The 24,158-nt window shown below is 36.1% G+C and overlaps 2 annotated features.

Moving 5' to 3' along the window:
- Window positions 17,854–18,023: an enhancer, noted in NCBI's record as "experimental_12178 CRE fragment used in MPRA reporter constructs". NCBI's record gives its function as "activates a minimal promoter by MPRAs in K562 erythroleukemia cells, with activity observed for the non-introgressed 10:36401541 or rs17611429 variant allele {active_cell/tissue: K562}" and the evidence as "EXISTENCE:reporter gene assay evidence [ECO:0000049][PMID:34662402]".
- Window position 17,938: a transcriptional cis regulatory region, noted in NCBI's record as "Neanderthal adaptively introgressed variant 10:36401541 (GRCh37/hg19 assembly coordinates) or rs17611429 in the experimental_12178 CRE". NCBI's record gives its function as "modulates activity of the experimental_12178 enhancer by MPRAs in K562 erythroleukemia cells {active_cell/tissue: K562}" and the evidence as "EXISTENCE:reporter gene assay evidence [ECO:0000049][PMID:34662402]".

Here is a 24,158-nt window from a genome sequence, read left to right as displayed (position 1 = left end):
GCAAGTTTAAAGTACAGTATTGATACCAAGAAAAGGCACAGGTGCCTGAATCAGCCCAAGTGAGATACATGGTGCACATGGAATACTATGCAGCCATAAAAAGAATAAAACCACATCCTTCACAGCAACATGGTTGGAGCTGGAGGCCATTATCTTATGGCCTTAATTAATGCAAAACCAGAAAATCAAATACCACATGTTCTCACTTATAAATGGGAGCCAAGCAATGGGAACATGTGGATATAAACATGGAAACGGTAGACATTGGGGACTCCAAAAAGGGAGAAGAGAGAGAGAAAAGGGTTGAAAAACTACCTATTAGGTATTGTCTTTACTATTTGGGTGATGGGTTCAATAGAAGCCCAAACACCAGCCCTACACAATATACCCTTAACAAACTTGTAGATATACTCCCTGAAACTAAATTTTTAAAAAATGAGAGATAGATGGCCTGGGTGCTGATTCTCCCACAGTGCACTTACAGCAGGAAAATGATCCATTGCCTTGGACACCACAACCACTGAAACAGCAAGACATAAGATACACTCTAAATTCATCGAAAACATGAATCATATTATTTTGAAGATTAGAATGAGTAGACATTTTGACATTTATAATGCAAAAAAGGAAAAATAAATTACCTGGGCAATAATTCTATGAAATTGTCATTCTTGCAGCAAGTTTAAAACAAATCATAGACATTCAAAGGGGAAATCGACAGATTATTTACAGTTAAAAAAGAGAGAGGTCTTAGCTAGGGTGAAGACGAAGAAGAACACATCAAACTAAGCACTGTAAAATGCTAAAGGTCTGTTTGATGACCATTTTCAGAATCATCTTGAAAGATGACATGAAATAAGAGAAAAATAGGTAAAGTTCTATCCTTTAGATAGCAAAAAAACTTCTCCTTTTGGCCAAAATAAAAGCAAAACTAAAGAAAAAAATTACTTGCCTCACACAACATTGCCAAATAATGCAGTTTCAAATGTCCAAGAGTACAATTGAATTGGTTGAGAGATTTTAGCTCTTAAGTAAATTAATGTATTTTTTATTTGTTTACTACATTTACAATGATTTTATCTATGAAGATATGTTAATTGAAAATGTTTACAGTTTTTTTTTAGCAAGATACACACCTATGTGAGTTTTTTTTTTTTCAATCTAGTACGATTCACTAGAACGTACAGATGTCTGCAGAGATAGGGAAAAATCTACCAGTGGTTAAAACTCCGTGAGTTATTGCTTACATTAAGGCCATAGGAAACTCTGCTGCGGCCAGTGACTACTGCAATCACTCACCAAGAACACTTCTCTCAAATGGTTTTGTTCATGATATTTCTCAGTTTGTTCTTTGAGGTGGTAAAACTTTACCACAATAAAAATACTAGTTTGAATATGTGTTTGTTAGAAAATTTGAATTAAAATGGAAATGTACTTTGGAAGCTTTCCCTACTACATATTTTCCAGTAGAGTCAGGAGGAGGTGTTGAACAGAATATTTGAACTGAGATTTATTCGTTATTTGTCTTTGTGGAGTGTAAGAAAGATAAGAAAATTAAAAAAAAATGAAATCTTGGAAAATGTGTTTGTTGACCCAGAGCTGGCTTGTTTACCAGATATATATATATATATACACACACACAAACACATGCAAACATATATGTATACACACATACATATACACACATATATATATACACATGCACATATATATATATACACACACAAATATATGTATTTTTTTTTTGATGGAGTCTCGCTCTGTCACCCAGGCTGGAGTGCAGTGGTGCCATCTCTGCTCACTGCAAGCTCCGCCTCCCGGGTTCACACCATTCTCCCACCTCAGCCTCCTAAGTAGCTGGGACTACAGGTGCCCGCCACCAAGCCCAGCTAATTTTTTGTATTTTTAGTAGAGACGGGGTTTCACCATGTTAGCCAGGATGGTCTCGATCTCCTGACCTCGTGATCTGCCCACTTCGGCCTCCCAAAGTGTTGGGATTACAGGCGTGAGCCACCTCGCCTAGGCCGTTTGCCAGATATATTCTTAAGGCTGAATGCCTTGAATCAAGATATGCTCTAACTGTCCATGGCTAGATTGCTGTAGGGATGAAAAATTGGATGAAGAAATTTGACCTCAGAGATTATGAATCATTGGTGACTTTTAATTTGATGCATGTTAAAGTGTTTGTGATAAAACTTAAAAAATGAAACAGCATATTTCATGAACAAAAAGACTGTGAATGAGCTATCTGCAAGACATAGTAGTAAAATCTGATGAATGTATTAGAGACTCTTGTAGTAAAGGCCCCTGCAGTTGGCTGTATAATACAAGTGACCTAAGAGACACGGCTAATGAATTTCTTCAGCAGTGGCCTTAAAACACCAAGAGGCGCGAAACTCAAATGCCCTCAGAGAGACGTAAATTAGTGAGCCTGAGGACATAAGAATGAACACCGTCTAAAGGCCTTTACCTTTCTTGGAAGGTTGTGAGCAGCTGAATTTTGTCCTAAGGTCACCAGTTTGTAACCCTGCATTCCAACCTGCCCTTTGCCTGCCAGCTTTTTGGGGATCCCTCCTCAGTCTTTATTCTGACTTAGCTTAGAAACTCACAGAAAACGTTCGCTGATCCTTGGTGCACGCGTTTTGAGAATCCTAATTTGCATAATAGGCAATTCATATTACCTATTATGCGAATTAGGGTTCTCAAAACGCGTGACACCAAGATGGAACAGAATCAATCTGGATTACTGACTTGTTACTCAGAATTAGCTCTGTGTATAAAGGTATGATTTTCTGAAAGTGCAAGTACAACTTGCATTGAAATGCATTGTCTTTGAAAAATTACATTTGATGAAATCAACCACTGTTCATCTGTTATCCAACAAAAAAATTTAGTTTTGATTTATTTTGTTCTTTCTGAAGATACATAATGTAAAATGTTATTTCAATGAATAACACTTTTCAGTGGGATGCAAACTTCCTGTGTTTTAAACAATCAAGTACCTTCAATGACATGTGAATTTGTATGACCTTAGTATCTTTTTCCCTTCATTCCTGTTACAGTGCCTCAGAGGAAATGTCTGAGAACGCAGCAGGACTCCATACTGATGTAAAGACCTGTGGTAGGAGAAACACAGCCCAGCCCTGAGTCAGACTAAACATGGGAATATTTCTCATGGAATGGGGACAGAGCAGAGGACAAGGTGATAAAGAAATAATATCTCCTGGCCTGGTGCGGTGGCTCATGCCTGTAATCCCAGCACTTTGAGAGGCCAAAGCAGGTGGATCACTTGAGGTCAGGAATTCGAGACCAGCCTGGCCAACATGTCAAAAACCTGTCTATACTAAAAATACAAAAGCCAGGCGTGGGGGCACATGCCTGTAATCTCTGCTACTCAGGTCTGAAGCATGAGAATTACTTGAACCTGGGAGGCAGAGGTTGCAGTAAGCTGACATCGCGCCACTGCACTCCAGCCTGGGCAACAGAGTGAGACTCTGTCTCAAAATAAAAAATAAAATAAAATAAAATAAATAAAATAAAATAAAATAAAGAAATACTTTTCATAAGTCATGTGATCCTTCATACACATTAGAATCCTGTAATAAAATCCTATACTACTTGTTTCAAATAATAAATCAAAGTGTATTTAATGTCATTTAGTCAATGTTAAGGGAACATCTCATTAGGGACCCATGATTTTTTTCTGATAAGCTGCCATCACAGAATGACTTCAAGTCGATGGCCTTTACTGAAATAATTTCTAATATGTATTTTATACAATTCAATCTTAGCTCACGCCATGCTTTATAGATATAAACATATCTGTAATCTGATTATGTCTTTTTCACCCACTTTCTTTCTGTATTTTACACCTTCATGGCTAAACTAACATCAACTTTAAAAATATGGGCCACAGCTCCATCCAACATTAAGGTTTTAATTGTTTTTCTTGCCCTCTTTATATGAGTGGTATTGGTTTCATGTGATCTTAAAAATTTTGCTACTTTATCCGATGTGTATGTGTGTGTGTGGGTGTGGCTGTGTGTGTGGTAATATCTTATATGGGCATCATCTGTCAATCTCAAATTTTATTAGACAATCATGAAAGGGTGTGCTGTTTTGTTTAAAAGTTTATATGTTTAGTTATTGGTCATTGGATTTAAAGAAATCTTAAGATTTCTTTAAATTGAAGAAAAGTTAGGTAAAATGATTAACACTAAAATGATGATTAATGATGATTAATTGTTTAACTAGTCCCATTTTCCCAGTTGCAGAATCACTACATACTATTCTGAATGTAATGTTTGATTAAAGAGATGAGTCAAACTCTCTTGTTTAGTGGTGTAGTTAGAGCAATCACTATTGACTGCTTATCACTTCTAGGCAGTCCTACCCATGAAGAAGAACTGAGAGCTCCTCAATTCAGAGCTTCCAGTGGGTTTTGTGGACACTACCTTTTCCTTTATTCAAAGCCATTTCTAATATAAATGCTTATCATTTATTGTTTACTTATTTATTTACTAGACCTCATGAATTGGATTGGTCATAATCCTTCATTCACAACACATCATCATCCTCTTAGATGTAGGAACTTTCTTTATATAGTTTGTGGGTTTTCTAATGTACTTATTATATAGTTTGTTTCTAATGTACTTATTATATAGTTGGTTTTCTAATGTACTTATTCTTAATTCTATAATCAACAACCCCCAAAGCACTATCTAATCCAAGAGCTAGAATATTCTACCAAAAATACTTTTTCCTAAGCACTTCTCCCAATCCCACATCCCTGCCATTTCTCCAAAAATAACCAATACCTGAATTTTATATCTATTTCCTCCTTGTTCTTTATGTAGGTGAGTTACTGCATACATTTGATGCCTAAAAAATATTGTTTAGTTTTACCAGGTTGTGAGTTTCAAAACAAGAATATCAAACAAGAATATCAAACTGTATGTTGTCTTTTGAGACTTACTTTATTGATTCAGCAAAATGATACTAATGTTTATCCATGTTGTTGCATGTAGCTAAACATACTCTATTGTGAAAAGATACCATAATTTATATATTTTCTGTCTATATGTTTTTGTATTATTTCCATTTTGTTCCTTTATGATCAGTGCTATTGTGTACATGTTTTGGGGGACACATGTACTAAGCTTTTCCTTGAATTGAACTTGGAGTAGAATTGCTAGATTTTAAAGAATGCAAATGTCAGCTGTATATTGTTTTCCAACGCAGTTGTACCAGTTTATATTTCTACCATCAAAGTAAAAGAAAATCCTGGATACACACTCCATCCAACACTTGATATGGCCAGTCTGCTTTATTTTGCTATTGAAAAGTCAAGTTGATATTGTCTTCTTAATTTTCATTTCTTTCATTATCAATAAAGAGGAAGTCAAACTGTCACTGTTTGCTGATGACATGATTGATTGTATACCTAGAAAACCTTAAAGACTTATCTAAAAAGTTCCTAGAACTGGTAAATGAATTCAGCAAAGATTCAGGATACAAAATTAAGTACAGAAATCGGTAGTTCTGCTACACACCAACAGCATCCAAGCTGAGAATCATATCAAGAATTCAAGCCCTTTTACAATAGCTGCAAAAAAGTAAAATAAAATACTTAGGAATATACCTAACCAAAGAGGTGAAAGACCTCTACAAGGAAAACTAGAAAACACTGCTGAAATGAATCACAGATGACACAAACAAATGGAAACACATCCCATGCTCATGGATGGGTGGACTCAATATTGTGAAAATGACCATACTTCCAAAAACAATCTATAAATTCAATGCAATTCCCATTAAAATACCAACATCATTCTTCACAGATCTAGAAAAAACAATCATAGAATTCATATGGAGCCAAAAAAAAAGCCTGCATAGCCAAAGTAAGACTAAGCAAAAAGATCAAATCTGGAGGCATCACATTACCTGACTTCAAACTATACTATAAAGCCATAGTCACCAAAATAGGTTGGTACTGGTATAAAAATAGGCATATAGACCAATGGAAAAGAATAGAGAACCCAGAAATTAAGCCAAATACTTATAGTCAACTGATCTTCGACAAAGCAAACAGAGGCATAAAGGAGGGAAGGACACCCTATTCAACAAATGTTGCTGGGATAATTGGCAAGCCACATGTAGAAGAATAAAACTGGATCCTCATCTCTCACCTTATACAAAAATCAATTCAAGATGGATCAAAGACTTAAATCTAAGGCCTGAACCCATAAACATTTTAGAAGATAACATTGAAAAAACCCTTCTAGACATTGACATAAGCAGACTTCAGATGACCAAGAACCCAGAAGAAAATGCAACATAAACAAAGATAAATAGATGGGACTTAATTAAACTAAAAAGCCTCTGCACAGCAAAATATATAATCAGCAGAGCAAATAGACAACCAACAGAATAGGAGAAAATCTTCACAATCTATACTTTTCACAAAAGACTAATAGCCAGAATCTACAGAGAACTCAAATAAATTAGCAAAAAAACAAAATAAAACAAAACAAAACAAAAAAGAACCAAAAAACAAAACAACAACAAAAAACTCAAAACAAAACAAAAAAAACAAGCAATTCCATCAAAAAGTGGGCTAAGGACATGAATAGACAATTTTCAAAAGAGGATATACAAATGGCCAACAAACATATGAAAAAATGCTAAATATCACTAATGATCAGGGAAATGCAAATCAAAACCACAATGCAATGCCACCTTACTCTTGCAAGAATGGCCATAATCAAAAAATAAAACAAAAAAATAGATGTTGCATGGATGTGGTGAAAGGAAACACTTTTGCACTGTTGGTGGGAATGTAAACTAGAACAATCCTATGAAAAACAGTGTGGAAATTCCTTAAAGAACTACTATAAAATTGGGTCTACCATTTGATCCAGCAATTCCACTCCTGGGTATCTACCCAGAGGAAAGGAAGTCATTATACAAAGAGGATACTTGCACAGGCATGTTTATAGCAGCACAATTCACCATTGCAAAAATATAGAACCAGCCCAAATGCCCATCAATCACCAAGTTGATAAAGAAAAAGGAATACTACTCAGCCATAAAAGGAACAAAATAATGCATCAAGATGGAATTGGAGACCATTATTCTAAGTGAAGTAACTCAGGAATAGAAAGCCAAACAGCATGTGTTCTCACTCATAAGTGGGAGCTAAGCTATAAGGACCCAAATGCATAAGAATGACACAATGGACTTTGAGGACTCAGGGGTAAGGATGAGTGAGGGATAAAAGACTACACATTGGGGCCGGGCGCGGTGGCTCACGCCTGTAATCCCAGCACTTTGGGAGGCCGAGGCGGGCGGATCACGAGGTCAGGAGATCGAGACCATCCCGGCTAAAACGGTGAAACCCCGTCTCTACTAAAAATACAAAAAATTAGCCGGGCGTAGTGGCGGGCGCCTGTAGTCCCAGCTACTTGGGAGGCTGAGGCAGGAGAATGGCGTGAACCCGGGAGGCGGAGCTTGCAGTGAGCCGAGATCCCGCCACTGCACTCCAGCCTGGGCGACAGAGCGAGACTCCGTCTCAAAAAAAAAAAAAAAAAAAAAAAAAGACTACACATTGGGTACAGTGTACACTGCTCAGAAATCACCAATAAAGAACTTAATCATGTAACCAAACACCACCCGTTCCCCAAAAATCTATTGAAATAAAAATTTAATTTAATTAACATATATGTACTGATTCTAGAATGCATATGAAAAGAAAAAAACAAGAGCCAAGGCAACCAAGAAAAAGAAGAGGATGAGTAGGAAGAGGAGGAGGAGGAGAGAGGAGGAGAAGGACAAGTAAGTGGAGAAACCATAAGAAGAAAAAGAAGAGTAAGAAAAAGGGAGGCCATGTGTGGTGGCTTATGCCTGTAATCCCAGCACTTTGGGAGGCTGAGGGGGGCAGATCACCAGAGTTCAGGAGTTTGAGACCAGCCTGGCCAACATGGTGAAACCCTGTCTCTACTAAAAATACAACAAAATTAGCTGGACATAGTGGTGCATGCCTGTAATCCCAGCTACTCAGGAGGTTGACGCAGGACAATTGCTTGAACCCAGGAGGTGGAGGTTGCCGTGAGCCGAGATCATGCCATTGCACTCCAGCCTGGAAAACAAGTGCGAGACTCCATCTCAAAAAAAAAAAAAAAAAAGGGTAGGGAGAAGGAGAAGGAAAAGTTGGCATTACCATTCATAATAGATATCAAGAATTACTATTAAGCTACAGTAATTCATATAACATCAGTCTACAGGTAGATAAATGACCAGTTGAACAGATTAGGGATGTCAAAAACAAATCCATGCATACAAGAAAATGTGACATGGGACATCTCTGGCACTATAAGTCAGTGGGGAAGAAATGAATTATTGAATAAACAGTACTGGGGCATGTGCCCATTTAAATGAAAACAAAATCCACAAAAATCACCCAACATACAAAAATTTGTTCTGGATGGATGAAAGTTTAATATGAAAGTCAAATTATTAAAGAAGAAAATGTACTTCTTTATTATTTCATGATGGACAAACATTTCTTAAATACAAAGGAAAAAGCACAAATCATAAGGAAAAACTTTAATATATTTGACCACATTAAAATCTATTGATCAAAGATGACATTAATAAAGTAGAAAAGGAAAGTCATGAATTGAAGGAAGATAATTGCAGTGCCTGTTACTGACAAATAATTAGTGACCATAAGTATAAAGAATTCCTATAAATTACAAGAGTAACAAATGGCATAAGTAGGTATGTAACAGAAAAGGAAACATGGTTGGCAAAAACTCACAAGTAATAAAAAAAAAAAAAAGCACAGTAAAACCACAATGGGACACTGTTTTCCTCAGAACCAAATTGTCAAAAATCAGGAAGTCTGATAATACCAAGTACTACTGAGCCCATGAAAAGTAATTCGGAATGTATTTTGGCATTATCAAACAAAGCTTGAGATGTATCTAACTTTTAATCTAGGGATTACATTCTGAAAGTTTTTCCTCATAAACATGTACACAAGGAAATGGACAAAAATTTTCATATAATCAAGTTCGATGTATTTTTATAATGAAATATCACAGCCCATTGAAAATGAATTGACATCCAGGTTCATCAACATGAGTGAGTCTCAAGACAGAATGGAGAGGGGAAAAAAGCACATGGGCAAAGAACACGTATTTTATGCTTCATTTTCTATAAAGTTCAAAACTATGCAAAGCTAAATAACACATTATTTAAGGATTCAATCATACTAGGTAACATATTTTTTAAAAATCAAGGAAAGATAAATAAAGAAGTCAGTTTTCTCTGGGAGTACAGATAAGGATCTTTTTAAGGATGGGAACACAAGGAGGCTTTAAAATTACTGGTAATATTTTAAGTTGATCAGTGGATACAACAGTGCAGCAGTGTCTTCATGGACTTGATTCCTCACCCTCATGTGTCCTTAGGATCTTAGACGCTCCTACCTTATGAAAAAATGTTTTAAAAGATGACCTTTTCTTGCTTTTGCATAGTCAGAATTTCATGCCCTTGTTCCATATGGCTTGGGATTGGGAAATATAAAGACGAAGTCTTCCAGCATTTGTAGCCCTGAAAATACTGTGAAAGTTACTAGAGATGCTGCATTAATCATGTGTTTTGTTTTCTGTATTTTGTGAAACCTTGACATATTAAAAGCCTTCCTGGCAGGAGAGAGATTGCCTCTCCCAGGGCTAACCCTTTCTTAAAGCAAAAGCCCGGGCTGGGAGCATGTCTGTCACATACAAACCAGCCAGTCCTGAGTTTTTTAGACTCCACCAACCCGTTATCTAACTCTCATACACAAAGCCAATAATGTATTCCCTGCCCTGAATCCTCCCAGAGCCTGGTACAAGGCAACTAGAGACACCCCTCTAGCCAAAACCCCAGTACTATTTAAACTAGTCAATTCTAATCCCTTTACCTTGCCCGGCCTTGCCTTTTCCATGGAAATCCCAGTAAAGAGTCCAGGCTATGCTTTGCCCTTGCTCCTGTCTTCTGACACTGACCAAAATCTGGTGTCCTGCGGCCCTGCATGGGATGCAGTGATGGCCCTGCTGTAACCTGTGGGTAGAATAAACTGCTTCGTGCCAGGCCTGGCTTTCTTTCGCGGCAACACCGACTTTACACCCAAGATTAACATAGCCAACATTTACAAATGATGCTCCATAATCATTTTCACACTCTTGCATTGTGCAACAAATAAATCAAAATTCTTGAAGCCACAATGTCTCAGTAGTAGCTTTTGTAGAGTTTCAATATTTTGTGCACAGTGCATATCATATATAAAGGTCTCTTTCTATTGGAATTAGAAATATGTGTTTTTCACAGTGAAAGCAACATTTTAGCTTGTTTTTCTTATTTGACTTGTTTCCACATTGGGCCAGGTTGTTTAGGTGACTTGTTGCCAAAAAAAAAAAAAAAAAGATGCCAATTTCTACACATGAGCCAAAGCATTTATATAGAGAAGCTGAATCTCTCTGTGGAAATTCATGGCTTTTGTAAAACCTATTCTGGAAACAAATTGCAAAATCAGTTCAGGATTATTTTCAGTTGGATTAAGAAGCAACTTGTGATCCTGGTGAATCCAAAATCAATGTTATTTTGTTAGAACAAAGGCAGTGCCAGTGGGGAGAGGGAGACAAAGTTTTTCTTCTAATCTTTGACTTAGGTTAAGTTTTACCAAAATAATGTTAAGGAATAAGCAGTGACCTAGTTTACTTTGATTTAATAAAAATTTGGCAAAAGTGTCTAATATGGTTTCTGGCCTGATTTAATTGTGTCTGGGAAGCTGCTAATATCCATCCACATAAAAATCCCTTCCAAGCTGCCAGAATGTCCCGGCTGACTTATTTGGCAGAAAGTAGTTGCCGTGGCCTCAGACATGAACCAGCGAGAAGTTGGACTCTCTCAGTTTATGCAGACCTGACATGTGCCTTCTGGGACAGCCCCTTTGATGGTTATAGTCATCATGGCACATTTTCCACGGGCAAAAAATGTTGTCATAAAAAACACTACAACGATATTTGATGTTAGGGGTGCTATAGTACCTGAGGATGGATTCTAAACTCTAAGTTTCTATGTACCTGTAAGAGGAGGACACAGTTCAGTTTTCAAGAGAGTCAATTACCTGAGTGGTAATGGAAGTGTTACTTTCATTGTAAGCTGTGTGATATCAAAGCATATACATTTGTCCCTATGTATCTGTGAGGGATTGCTTCCACGACGTCGGGAGATATGAAAATCTGCAAATGCTCAAGTCCTGGATATAAAATGATGTAGTATTTGCATGCAACCTACACACATCCTCCTGTATACTTTCGATCATCTCTAGATTACTTATACTACCTAATACAATGTAAATGGTATGTAAATAGTTGTTATACTACATTGTTTAGAGAATAATGACAATAAAGACAAAAAGTCTGTATATGTTTAGTACACATGCAATTCCTTTTCTGAACATTTTTTATCATAGTTTGGTTCATTCCATAGATGCAGACCCCAGGAATACAGAAGGCCAACTGTATTATCCAATAAACACAAAACTTAAAGGTATATCTTGTACTATGTTTGTAAAAATGATCAAAACCATGGAACAAACTAAAACGTTTGCATAACTTCAATGGCAATCATTTTAAAACCCAAATCTAAAACTTTAAGTGCAGATAGGCTTTGTTTAAGATGAGAAATAGAATGAGGGGTTCTGTGTAAGACGAAGGGAAGAGAAGGATCTCCAGCATCCCTTTCTCACACGCCCACCCTTGGCCTTTACCACAAACCATAAAAAGGAGCTACCCTGACTCCCCACTGCAAATGAACTCTGGCTTTCACCCGCAAAGAGAATTCTACTCCAGGGCTCATGGGACGGAGGAGCATAAGGCTAAATGCAACTCAGGTTTATGCGTTTGAGCCAAATAATTGGTGAGTTTGGCCAAGATTCAAGTTCATTCTGAAGCATTAAATCAAAGTGTTAGAGGTTTGCTTCCAACAGTTTGGAAAGCCTCTAGTAGTGAATTACGAATCGGTCAAAGCCCCACTCCCACCCCATAATCAATCTAGTCGAGGTGACAGAGCAAAGTGGTGCCAGGACCTGGCCTGTGTGGCAAAAATAAGCAGAAGAATCAGAACAGTAAATTTCATTGTTAGCAGCTCTTCTGAGCAAACAGGAGGGAACGAAGAAGGAAAGGAATAATATAACAAAGCAGAGACTTGGAAGAGGAAGGATACAGTTATTCCCAAGCAGAGTTGCAGAGAAAGGGTGGGAATCAAAAAGAGGAGGGAATCTCAGCACACCCCAAACTTAGGCTAAATGGTAACAGACATTTGATAGAGGGCTTTAAATTTAAAAACCAACACACAAACAAACAAACAAACAGAAATAAAAACAAACAACAACAACAAAAAAAAAACCCTTAATGTAGGAAGAGAAAACAGAAGAGACAAGAAACCAATTGGAGCAAAGTTACATTCCCCCAAATTTATCGGAAGCGGAAGCTCCCAGGAAGAGATCTGTGAGTACCATGGACTACACTGGCTGGAAAAGTGACATTCCCCCAAATTCATCAGAAGTGGACCCGGAAGAGATCCGTGAGTACCATGGTCTACACTGGCTGGGACGGGGGTGTGGCAAGGAGGAGAAGGAAGGGCTGAGAGGCTAAGATCTTAACTCTTCAGGTTTAAAGCAATGAAGATAACAAAGTTGCTACCTAAAGGAAAACAACACTTTAATTAACTAAATACAAAGCTTTTAATTCACCAGACATAGCATTAAAATATATCATGGGGAAATAAATGTATAAATGTAAATTATACTTTCCAGATCAAGCTAATCTTGATAAACAAAATTCCAGTCTCACAGCTGACAGAACGAGGAGAATATTCAATTAAATCTCAGAATCTTTAGAAATGAAAGGGCAGATGTGAGGAAACCCTAACAAGCACATGCATTGCACCTTCTTTCTGTAAAACATAAATTGGAACGCCTTGATTAACAGTGATGTCAGCTTCTACTTAGTGCCTGCAAAGAAAGTTTCTTTCGTGTGAGAAGTTTACGACGGCTGCCCCAGGATGCTAAATGGGTTTTTATCTCAGGGACAGGGAGGGGTGGCTGGGGAACTAAAGAGTAGTGGATGATCTTAACAAATGAAAAAGGATAATGATACCAATTCAGGCTTCCCAAACAAAGATGACTAACCACACTAAGAGAAAGCTAGCAGTGTGCAAGCACGTGATATACTAAATGTTGTTGTTGTGTGTGTAAAATGACATTTCTAAAAACATTTTGCCTCTATGAGAAAACAAAATATAAATTTGTTCTTTTCTCCTTTCCCTGTGGAAAAGTCTGTACTACTATTAAATAAGGCCAGAACATTTTATCTTTTTATTTGACAGATTCTCCCGCTCTCCTTATTGAAAATAACTTAACTCCAGGAACTGCACAGCCTCTCCACAGATTCTAAATAATCATGACTCCATAGATTATCCACGAGCAGCTGTGAGGGGCACAAAGATTTTCCTAGAACAGAGTGGGGAGCATTCTGCAGCAGCCTAGAGGCAGCTTTTCCCCAGCCCTCAAGTGATTTTTAAGAGCCAGCCGGTCTGGAAAATGTCGAATTTGTTTGTAGGAAAGGTAAACACTGCCAAAATCCACAAGTTCCTTCCGTAGGGGGCTGTAGAGCAAATTGGTCTACAGATTAAGATAGTTGAGACAACTTATGTTGGAGAAGTGAACCCCTTCGGCACTGGGGATTTCCCCCAGAACTGTATTAGAAAGCTGATAAATCTCTGCTGGAGGAATTACGAACTGTATACTCAAGAGGTAAAGGAAATTAGAATGGATCTCTTCTATAAATATCTTAGACAAAGTGAATTTTTAAGTGAAAAAGTAGGCCGGGAGGTTTAGTGAATTGGGTTAAATGTCTCAGCCACAAGGGCTAGATTGCTTGTTCTGTGTGACTTCACTGTGATTAGAACTATACGAAATGGTTTCATAGGTGATTGGTTACAAGTCAAGTAAAATGCTTTGATTAAAGTGGAACTGGTAAAAATTTCCTGCATGTCCTGTAATTGGAGCTGCCAAATAAATGCATGATGCCAGCTAAATTTGAATTTCAGATACACAATAAATATTTTTTTAGTACAAGCATGTCCTAAGCATTGCACATGACATACTTATACGAAAAAATTATTCAATGTTTATCTGAAATTCAAATCAAACTGCGCATTCTCTATTTTTATTTGCTGAATCTGGCAAGCTCACCAGTAACACATATAAAATAGGCCCATGTTTTTCACACTCCCACTCTCAAACTCACACTGAATTCATATTTGAATAAGTATGGCCAGGCTCTATGTCTAGAACCATTAAGATTAAGTATTATTTATGAGATGAAAATCCAGGCAGGGTTTTCTATGTAGTTAATTCTAAGAGTTACTTTGGGGAATTGAGTTTCTTAAGGTTTCTTCTAGGTTGTATTTTATAACTATCCAGGGAGTTTTTAAGAATCCCTATGTCCCGGATTCAGCTCAAACTAATGAAGCTAGAACCCCTGAATAGGACCCAGGCCTCTCTCCTTTTTAAAGCTTCCTGGCAACACCAAAGTGCTGCCAAGGTGAGAATCACTGCTCTAGATGGGTTGGTACCAACCTGCCAATCTGTGATCACAAAAACAAAAACAAAAAGGTGACTATTGCTTGCATTGCTGAATGTCATTTCAGTTAGCAGAAAATGTAGTAGCTTTTTTTTTTCTCCTTCCATGTCTGTAATTCAAAAGAACATACACAGCCACTGAAGGGAGCTAAATGGAGGTGTGAAGAATAGTGAAGAGAAGAAGGTCTGTAAAAAATTTCTAAACAATATCTTCAAATATAGCAGGCATATAAAGACTGTATCAGGCTGGGTTTTATTGGCACAGCTGTTAAGTTAAACATCCACAAATCTACGCTCTTATCAAGGGATTAAAACTATATAGAAACATACATGTTTACTTTCACAGTGCATAGAGAGTCACAAAGTGTATATTTCAAGGACATAGTACTCCACTGTTTGATTTTGTTTTTTCTAAAAATATTTCCTATCAGTGTCAGTTATAGAACTCTGAAAAATGACAGAAACACCCAGCCAAATTTACTATTTTTTATTCAAATCATGGGTTCCTTTCAATTCCAATGTGCTGTTAAAACTACTACATGTTGCAAAGATCACTAAGGTTGGTTTATTTCAGCAAATGTAACTGACAGCTGAGGCAAATGTAATGCCTGAAGACTAATACAGGAAAATTCTTTCTGGGTTTGTCCTAGAAGTGGACTGATAAGCCTGCTGCAGTGATGTATGCTTTCAAGCATTCCTTGTCAGAAAGCCCCAAGAATTTTTATATTATTAAAACCCCAGTCCCAGTACTTGCAAGGAGAGTTCCAAAGCAAGCTTCCGTATCTTATCACATACCACTGGCCCCACAGTGCATTTTGACACAAAGTATATTTACTTTCAACACTGACACATTCCCATTGCTCTACTCATGCCTCTCCTGGATTTAAGAATGCCATATACACTTTTCAACAAGTTGTTTTGTAATTTCAGTCCTCAAAATGCTAAAGAGTTCTAAAAAGAATAGAGTTAACCAAATCTTTCATTAGTACTAGAGAACTGATTGTCCCTATACACAGCGCTGATAGAATTTTTGGTTTGCCTGGTGTAGAAATCAAGAAATTATTTCATGTTTTATTTCATCTCCGCTCCCTTGTGATACTAAATACTGTCTATATTTAAATTCAAGGTATTTTCCTTTGCTGGAATTGTGCCTTCTATATTAGGGGGCACACATTGGTTAAGTGAAAAAAGGAGTTGTCTGTCATCAGATTCACCCCAAAATGCATATGATTCCTATGATCCTGTCCTTCTATACTTCTCTGTTCTTGTTCTATGTGTTCTCAAGCAATGCTCTCATCCACCTCAAACTCTTACATCTTCTCCTATGTATTACTCCCAAATGTGTATTTCCATCTCTAAAATATCTTCTAAGTTAAAATCTCATTTTTCCAGTTGTCCACGGAACATATCTCAGCTCCCTAGGCTCAAAAACTTTGACACATCAACCTTCACATAGTCAACTAGTTTACTCACCCTCTCTTCTTCCATAAGAGGTTCCCTATCTGTCTCTTCATGTACATTCCTGTTTCCAACTTCCTGTATCAGCAGCCTTCATTAACTCATATCCAGACTATTACTATAACCTCCTATTTGAGCTCCCTAAATCTCCTCCATATATAGTCCTGATCATGACACTCCCAAGGGTAAAAGCATTTTTTTTTTAAAGCTTAGTGTATTTTTATTCTCTACTGACTAAACAGACCATGCTAAAGATATGGAAATTAGAGCCTGGGAATATCAGTGAAGAGGGATTCTAGCAAATACTTCAGGATCTCAGTGGGAATCCTAGAAGTCTACACCCTAGGAGTATGGGACAACCAGAGGTAGACAGCCATACAGTAATTGCAACCAGCATTGAGTTGCACTCCCTGATCAGATTCATATCATCTGATGCAACACTGTTTCTAATACAGGCCAGGGTAAATGCTCTTGAAAAAAATATATCATCCAGAGTCTGCAAAATGTCTGTCATTCAATAAAAATTTACTAGGCATGCCATGAACTGTGACCAAGGAAAAGCAGTAGAAACAAACCCTCGATTTAACCAAGTTATTGAAGTGATTAGAGATGGGCTTTAAAACAGCTGTATTTAATATTTTTCCAGAAGTAGATGACATAATAGAACATTTTACTAGAGAATTGGTATCTATTAAAAAGAATGAAATAAAAGTTCTAGAGTTGAAAATGTGACACACTGAAATTTAGACTTGATAGACAAGTTTAACAGCAGATTGATACAACAAAAGAATTAGAGAGCTATTCAGGAGAAAAATACAGGCTGAAGCATAGAAACCAAAATAAAGGGATAAAGTAATACAGGAAAAATATGCATGGATATATGTACAGATTATAGAAGTATACATATACATATGTGTATGAGATATACAATATGTGTATATGAGACATGGAGAAAAATTGCAACTTATATATAATTCAAGTCTCAGAAGAATGGAGAGAGAACAAGGCAGAGAAAATATTGGACAAGATAGTGGTTTTCAAAATATGGCCAAAAAATCAAATCAAGATGCAAATCTTAGAAAAACTGCAGATCATCAGGAGGATAAAACACACATACGTATGTGCACACACACACACATGCCCACACCTCTAGTCGAATTATAGAAATTCTTCTGAAACTAGGGACAAAAGAAAATATTAAAAAAGTCTAAAGAAAAACATTATCTAAAGAAGCAATGAAGATTTACAGCTGATGTCTTAATAGAAATGATGAAATCAAGAAGACAAGGGGTGACATCTTTAAAGTGCTGAAAGAAAAAAACAGCCAACCTATAATTCTATACCTAGAGAAAATATTCCTCAAAAGTGAAAGAGAAATAGGTATTACCATCCATACAAAAACTGAGACAATTTGTTGCCAGCAGACAAGAATACACAAAAAAGAAATTCTTTTTTTCCAAATTTATTTATTTTTAAAATCGACATATAAAATTGCATGTATTTATTGTATACAACATGATGTTTTGAAGTACATATACATTGTGGCATGGTTAAATTTAGCTAATTAACAAATGCATTGCCTCACGTAGTTATCATTTTTTGGCAACAACACTTAACATCCACTTTCTCGGCATTTTTCAAGAATACAATATATCGTCACGAACTATGGTCACCATGCTGTATGATGGATTTGACATGGCAGAAGGAAAATGATCTCAGGTAGCAACACAAAAATGCAGGAAGAAATTAAAAACAACAGAAAGTATCTGAGTGATTGGAATCTAGTAGATGGATTGGATTTTGTGAGCCAATAGAAATGGACAGCTGTTCATTAAGAGTACTCCAGTGTTGGCCTCTCCAGTGACTCTTAACTCCATCAGGGCAGGACGTTTTTCTTATTCCCTGTTGTTACATTAATGCCTGAAACTGTGACTGGCATATAGTAGGCACTCAACAAACTGTTCAATTGAATGACTGAATGAATATTGTCTTCAAGTTTGCACTGTATTTAAAATTTGGGGGTAATAATAGACATGACCTTAGTTACCTAGACACAATGTTAAGGAGATTATGGACTGAGATGAAAATCCATGCTTATTTTTGGGGAAGGAAAGACCGGGAGAAAAGAGAGAGGAAAGGAAAAGACGCAAACTCATAATATTGTGGAGCCAATGCAGAAAAGGTTAAGGGTGAGAGCTCAATCCAATTGCACTCTGTGCTCTTAATATGTTGGAAGGAAAATCTTGTAGCAGTGGTGCAGAAAAGGCAGCCAAGTTTCTTTTTGGAAATATTTAGTCATTTATCATTTGTAGCTCAATACCATATCAAAGGTCTTAGTAGCAATTTTAAGGCAACACAATAAGGCTAAATATATCCACAATGAGGATTATCCTAAAGGAAAGGAAACCAAGGGTGATGCATATGTTAGCAGGTTTCTAATCAGTGAGACTCACTGCTGTTCTCCCTGTTAAGCTGAGATGGAATGGCTGCTACCCCAAGTGAGTAAGGTGACTCCCTGCTACCATCACCTCAGCATGCCAACAGCACAGCACTGCCGTTATCATCCCAGAGTGGTCAGGAGCTCATGCTATTTTTTCTGCGAGTCTGGGGAAAGATATGTTGGTTTCACAGTAGGGGAATAGTAGACAAGTGTCACAGTACCACACAGACAGGCAGAGAAAGGGAAACAGATTGGGGTCTTTAAAAAACTAGCTACAGGCATCAATTACTAAGATTTAAAACTAAAACCAAATTGTAAGAAAAAGGCATATATATTGGAGGTAGGATGGGGAACATTTGTAGATGAAACAAATAAGATGACTAAAACGTAATTTTCTATATTTAATTAAATGTTAAAACTATAGAATTTATTTTCTAGCTGATGAAAACTAAGAAAATTAGCTAATCTGTAATTTTATAAGTATTAACCACCTACTTTTATTTTATAATAATTTTATTAACGTATATTGATAGATGTTTCTATTAATAGATAGCATTACCCAGGTTTTTGTAAAAGATATATTGTATAAAATAGATATTTTAAAATCACCTTTCTTGAAGAAAATTAGTACCTTTAAAAGAGACCAAAACTCCATTAATTAATATTAAATTATTTTTAAATGAATTAAAATGGGCTATTTCTATACTCGCAAGGGCAGAGATAACATAAAGATTTTAGAGGTATTTTACAAGAGCTTACACAGGGGGAATTATTTCTTTCTCTCCTTTTTTACCAGAAATGATTATTATATAGATCCTTTTGGGGAGTACAGTTACCTATAAATATTTCCAGTTATAAAGCCAGAGTCTCTAGGCACCTTGGCTCTCTTTAAGCTACTTCCAATTAACTCAAGTTTTATCACTAGTCATTATGGAAGACAAATAGGAATGAGGTTCTCTCCTACCACTGAGAATGAGGTCAGAATGTTGGAAGAGGTAGAAGAAGTTTATTACAATCCTGATGGCATTTGTAGTCAGCTAGAACCTCAGTGATAAGTTTCCAAAATAAAAGCTTGGCAATTAAGAACTTAAAAAATTTTCAGACCTCTCATTTCACCTGGCCTTGAATACTTGTCTTGGTGTTCAAATGACTAAGAAAGAATATATAAACTTCATGTCATAGGATTGGACAGACAATAAGCTTCCAATAAGTGTTATTTCCTTTACCCCATTGAAATTTATAGTTGGTACTTCTCATCTACATGCATCAATTATTGTCATATGAAACAACTACCTAACTGCTGCTAATACTGATGGTTTATGTTTGCGTTACTTGAGAATTTCACATTAGTATAGAATTAACTGAGCTCAAGATGGATCAGTTATTTACTTAATATCTTACTATTGGCTTTGTATTTCTCTAAACAAGTTTTAGAAGTACACACACACACACACACGTGCACACACATATAATATCCTGCTGCTGCTTGGTTTTAATAAACAGAAAGCACCTAAGTAAACCAAATTACAACTATAAAATCCCTATCATTAATAGACAGGATCCTTCTCACTAGAAATTGTCATGCTTTCATAATTCTTCCTCAACCAGTGAGTTTGGTAGGTTAGTCATTTCAGGCTGGCTTCTGTCCTTGTTTGTCATGTCTACGTCACAAGGGTGTTGGAAGGATTAATTAGTTAACATGCAAGTTTCTTTGAAGATGAAAGCACTCTGAAATTGCTAAGTGGTGCTAGCATTCCTTCATAGTACATATTCTTCCTTTTATATTTGTAAAGATTTATCCACCTCCTATTAACCCTTTTGACTAACATTATTTACTCAGATTTTTTAAAATAATCAACTAGCTTGTGTTTTCCTCTACAGGCCTCAAATAGTTTTTTTAACTGATGTCCTCATTTCTCTTCTCAGTTTTTTCTTATGTGTATTTTTTCTCTCACTGAGAGGACCTGATATCCTTTTTCAAATCCTGCTGTTTATTTTCTTCTAGTTACATTTTTGTATCTGCTGGAATTGTGGACTGGTATACCAAAAGATCACTAAAGAGAAAAAAATTCACTATTGTGAAATATTAGAAGCTTGGGCCATGAGCATTATTAACTTGGATCAATTATCCCAGTCCAAAGGGCAGGCAAATCTGTCTGTGCAGTTCGGTGGTGCTGTGGGCGAACAGCTGAGCAAGAAAGAACAAGTGCCTTACTCCAAGGGTCTGAATTTTCACATGCAGTTATCTAAAAAGGCTTGTGTGAGACTGAGTGTACACTGAAAGAAATCTGATGAGGTTCCCTCAAGTATTCCAACTTCTTACCCTGGGTACAGCTAATGGTATCCAGCCCCATGGGCTATGGCTCTGCAAACCAGAGGAAGGAGTTCCTCCAGCAGACCCAAGCTGGGAGGAGGAGGCTCATTTCCAACAAACTCTGAAACACAGGGATGCTTACTACAGAGTTGTCACAATTATTTTAGCTGCTTAAATCTGCAAAGCAGAGCTGGTTTCCCACAATGAAATCCTGGGGTTTTCTTCACAGTTCCGACTATAAAGTATCCCTCAAATATTTTCCACTATGCTTTCAGCATTTTCCATTCTGATTGTAAGTGGGACCATGAAATGTTTAAAAAAATCATTTTTAAAAAGAGGTGCCTGTTTTATTACACATAAATATATATTTGTATTTAAGATGTACAATATAATGATTTGATATACACATACATCATGAAATGGTTACAATTAAGCTAATTGACACTTCATGTTATTTTAAAAATATATTCTCCCCAAGAGACAATGGTGCTGACCAATCTCTTTTCATTAAAGAGTTGACAAAAACATAACTACATGCAAATGCTTCTGTCTTTGCATTTTGTCATTCTACTAACATTTAGATATATTAAAATATATTTTTCATGGTTTCTAACTCAAATAGAATGAGCAGAAACCTGTAAAATATCGATAAAATAAAATGAAAAATGATCTTGCCACAATGTATTTATTATAATTGCATACAACAAATACTCACACATAGATATACCTGTGTATGAATATATCTACATTAGAAATCTTTAATTATAATCTTCATATACAAAGGCACATTTCAAAAAATACCCATTTCTTTAACATACTGAAGACAAAAACTAACAATACATCCAAACTCTTAAAACCCAAATGAATTTTACCTTATAAGGAGAAAACGAACAATAAACCCAAACTCTTAAAACCTAAATGACCTTTACCCTGTAAATTTCCACATTAGTATGGTTAGAATTTATGCCTAGAAAGAATAATCTCAATTCTTTGGGGTTTTGTAAAAGGTAAAGAATTAAATTTGTTATGCTCAACAACTTTTACTTATGATTTTTAAATATATATATTTTATCTATCAAATATTATATTTATTGTTTCTATATTAGATTTTAGGTGAAAGTGTCTATATGCAATTCTAATTAGCATTTTAAAATATTTTCTTCCCCAAGACATTTTAAAAAAATTAAGTAATTTATTCTTAGAATTGAGAAATTAGTTCTTATTTTCAAAAAAGGAATAAATAATAATATATCTGTGAGAGTATTTTGTATTTTTCAATACATTACTTTTTTGATGACCATAATGCCCTATAAAATAGGTTGAGAAGCTAGTATTTCCTTTATTTTAAGGCTAAAGAGAAATAAAGACATGGAAATAAAACATTAAGCAAGGGGGGGAAAGAGTCAGAGTTAAGTCATTCAACTGGTGACCAAGCACCCTAGAGGAACAAGTCAACCAGACTGGAGGAAGCTCAGTCTAGCCCTGGGCTCCAGTTCAAATCTTCTCACCAAAAATTGTGTGTATTTTTTCAAAAGAAGACGTATGAGTGGCCAAGAAACACATGACAAAATGCTTGACATCACTAATCATCAGAGCAATGCAAATTAAAACCAAGATGAGATGTCATCTTACATCAGTCAGAATGGCTATCATGAAAAAGTAAAAAAATAACGGATGTTGGTGAGGATGCCAAGAAAAGGGAACACTTGTGTACTGTGGGTGGGAATGTAAATGAGTAGAACCTCTACAGAAAACAGTATGGAGATGTTTCAAAGAAGTAAAAATACATCTACTGTTTGATACAGCAATCCCACTACTGGGTATATCCCCAAAATAAAATAAATAAGTATATCAAAGAGACACCTGCAGTTGTGTGTTCATTGCTGCAGTATTCAAAATAGCAAAGATATGGAATCAACCTAAGTGTCCATCCATGCATGATTGGATAAAGAAAATGTGATTTTATATAATGTATGTGTATATATATATATACACACACTTATATATATACTTTATATGTATATACACACTTTATAGAAAGTGCATGTGTGTGTGTGTATATATATATATATATATATATATAGTATTCCATACATACTGGATAAAGAAAATGTGTGTAAAAATGTGATTGTGTACGCACACACGTATATATATATGATATTCCATACATATTATGGAATACTACTCAGCCATAAAAAAGAATGAAATTATGTCTTTTGCAGCAACATGGTTGCAACTGGAGGCCATTATCCTAAGTGAAATAACTCAGAAACAGAAAGCCAAGTACCACATGTTCTCACTTGCAAGAGGGAGCTAAATAATGGGTACACATAGACATACAGATGGAATAATAGACATTGGAGATGCCAAAAGGCAGAAGGGTGGAAGAGGTGCTGATGGAAGAAATACTACCTATTGGGTACAATGTACACTCTTCAGGTAATGGGTACACTAAAAGTCCAGACTTTACCACTATGCAATATATTCATGTAAGTCAACTGCACTTGTATCGCCTAAATCTATTTTAAAATTTCAACTTCTAAATTTAAAAAAATTAAAATTAAACAAAAAATTTAAAAAATTAAAAATTATGTCTATATAGCCTTGATAGGCCACATAGCATTTTAAAAACCATAATTCAATCCAACTTGTATGAATTATTTAAGATCACTGTAAGAGTTATTTATAAACTATAAGGTGCATTTCAAACATAAGGCATTTTTAAAAGATTAGTTAATTTGGCTAAATATGAAATTTGAAGCTACCATAAATCAAAACTTTAAAACAGGGCAGCTGACAAAATTAATTGCAACACATAATTTTTTTTTTTTTGAGATGGAGTATCACTTTGTCACCCAGGATGGAGTGCAGTGGCGCGATCTTGGCTCACTGCAACCTTTGCCTCCTGGGTTCCAGAGATTCTCCTGCCTCAGCCTCCTGAGTAGCTAGGACTACAGGCTCCCGCCACCACACATGGCTAAGTTTTGTATTTTTTTAGTAGAGGCGGGGTTTCACCATATTGGCCAGGCTGATCTTGAACTCCTGACTTCGTGATCTGCCTGCCTCTGCCTCCCAAAGTGCTGGGATTACAGGTGTGAACCACCACGCCTGGCCCGACACATAATAATTTAACAGCTAATATTTTTAATGTTTAATAATAGTTTACATATCCATAGTAGAAATATAAATATGATTTAAAAAATGAACACAAGACCAAAAACGTATTGCACAAATATAAATTGCCAATAACA

The sequence above is a fragment of the Homo sapiens genome, chromosome 10, assembly GCF_000001405.40.
Source record: "Homo sapiens chromosome 10, GRCh38.p14 Primary Assembly".
In the NCBI taxonomy this organism is placed as follows: Eukaryota; Metazoa; Chordata; class Mammalia; order Primates; family Hominidae; genus Homo; species Homo sapiens.
Note: the sequence above shows the minus strand (reverse complement) of the source record. Positions and strands in the feature narration are given on the sequence as shown.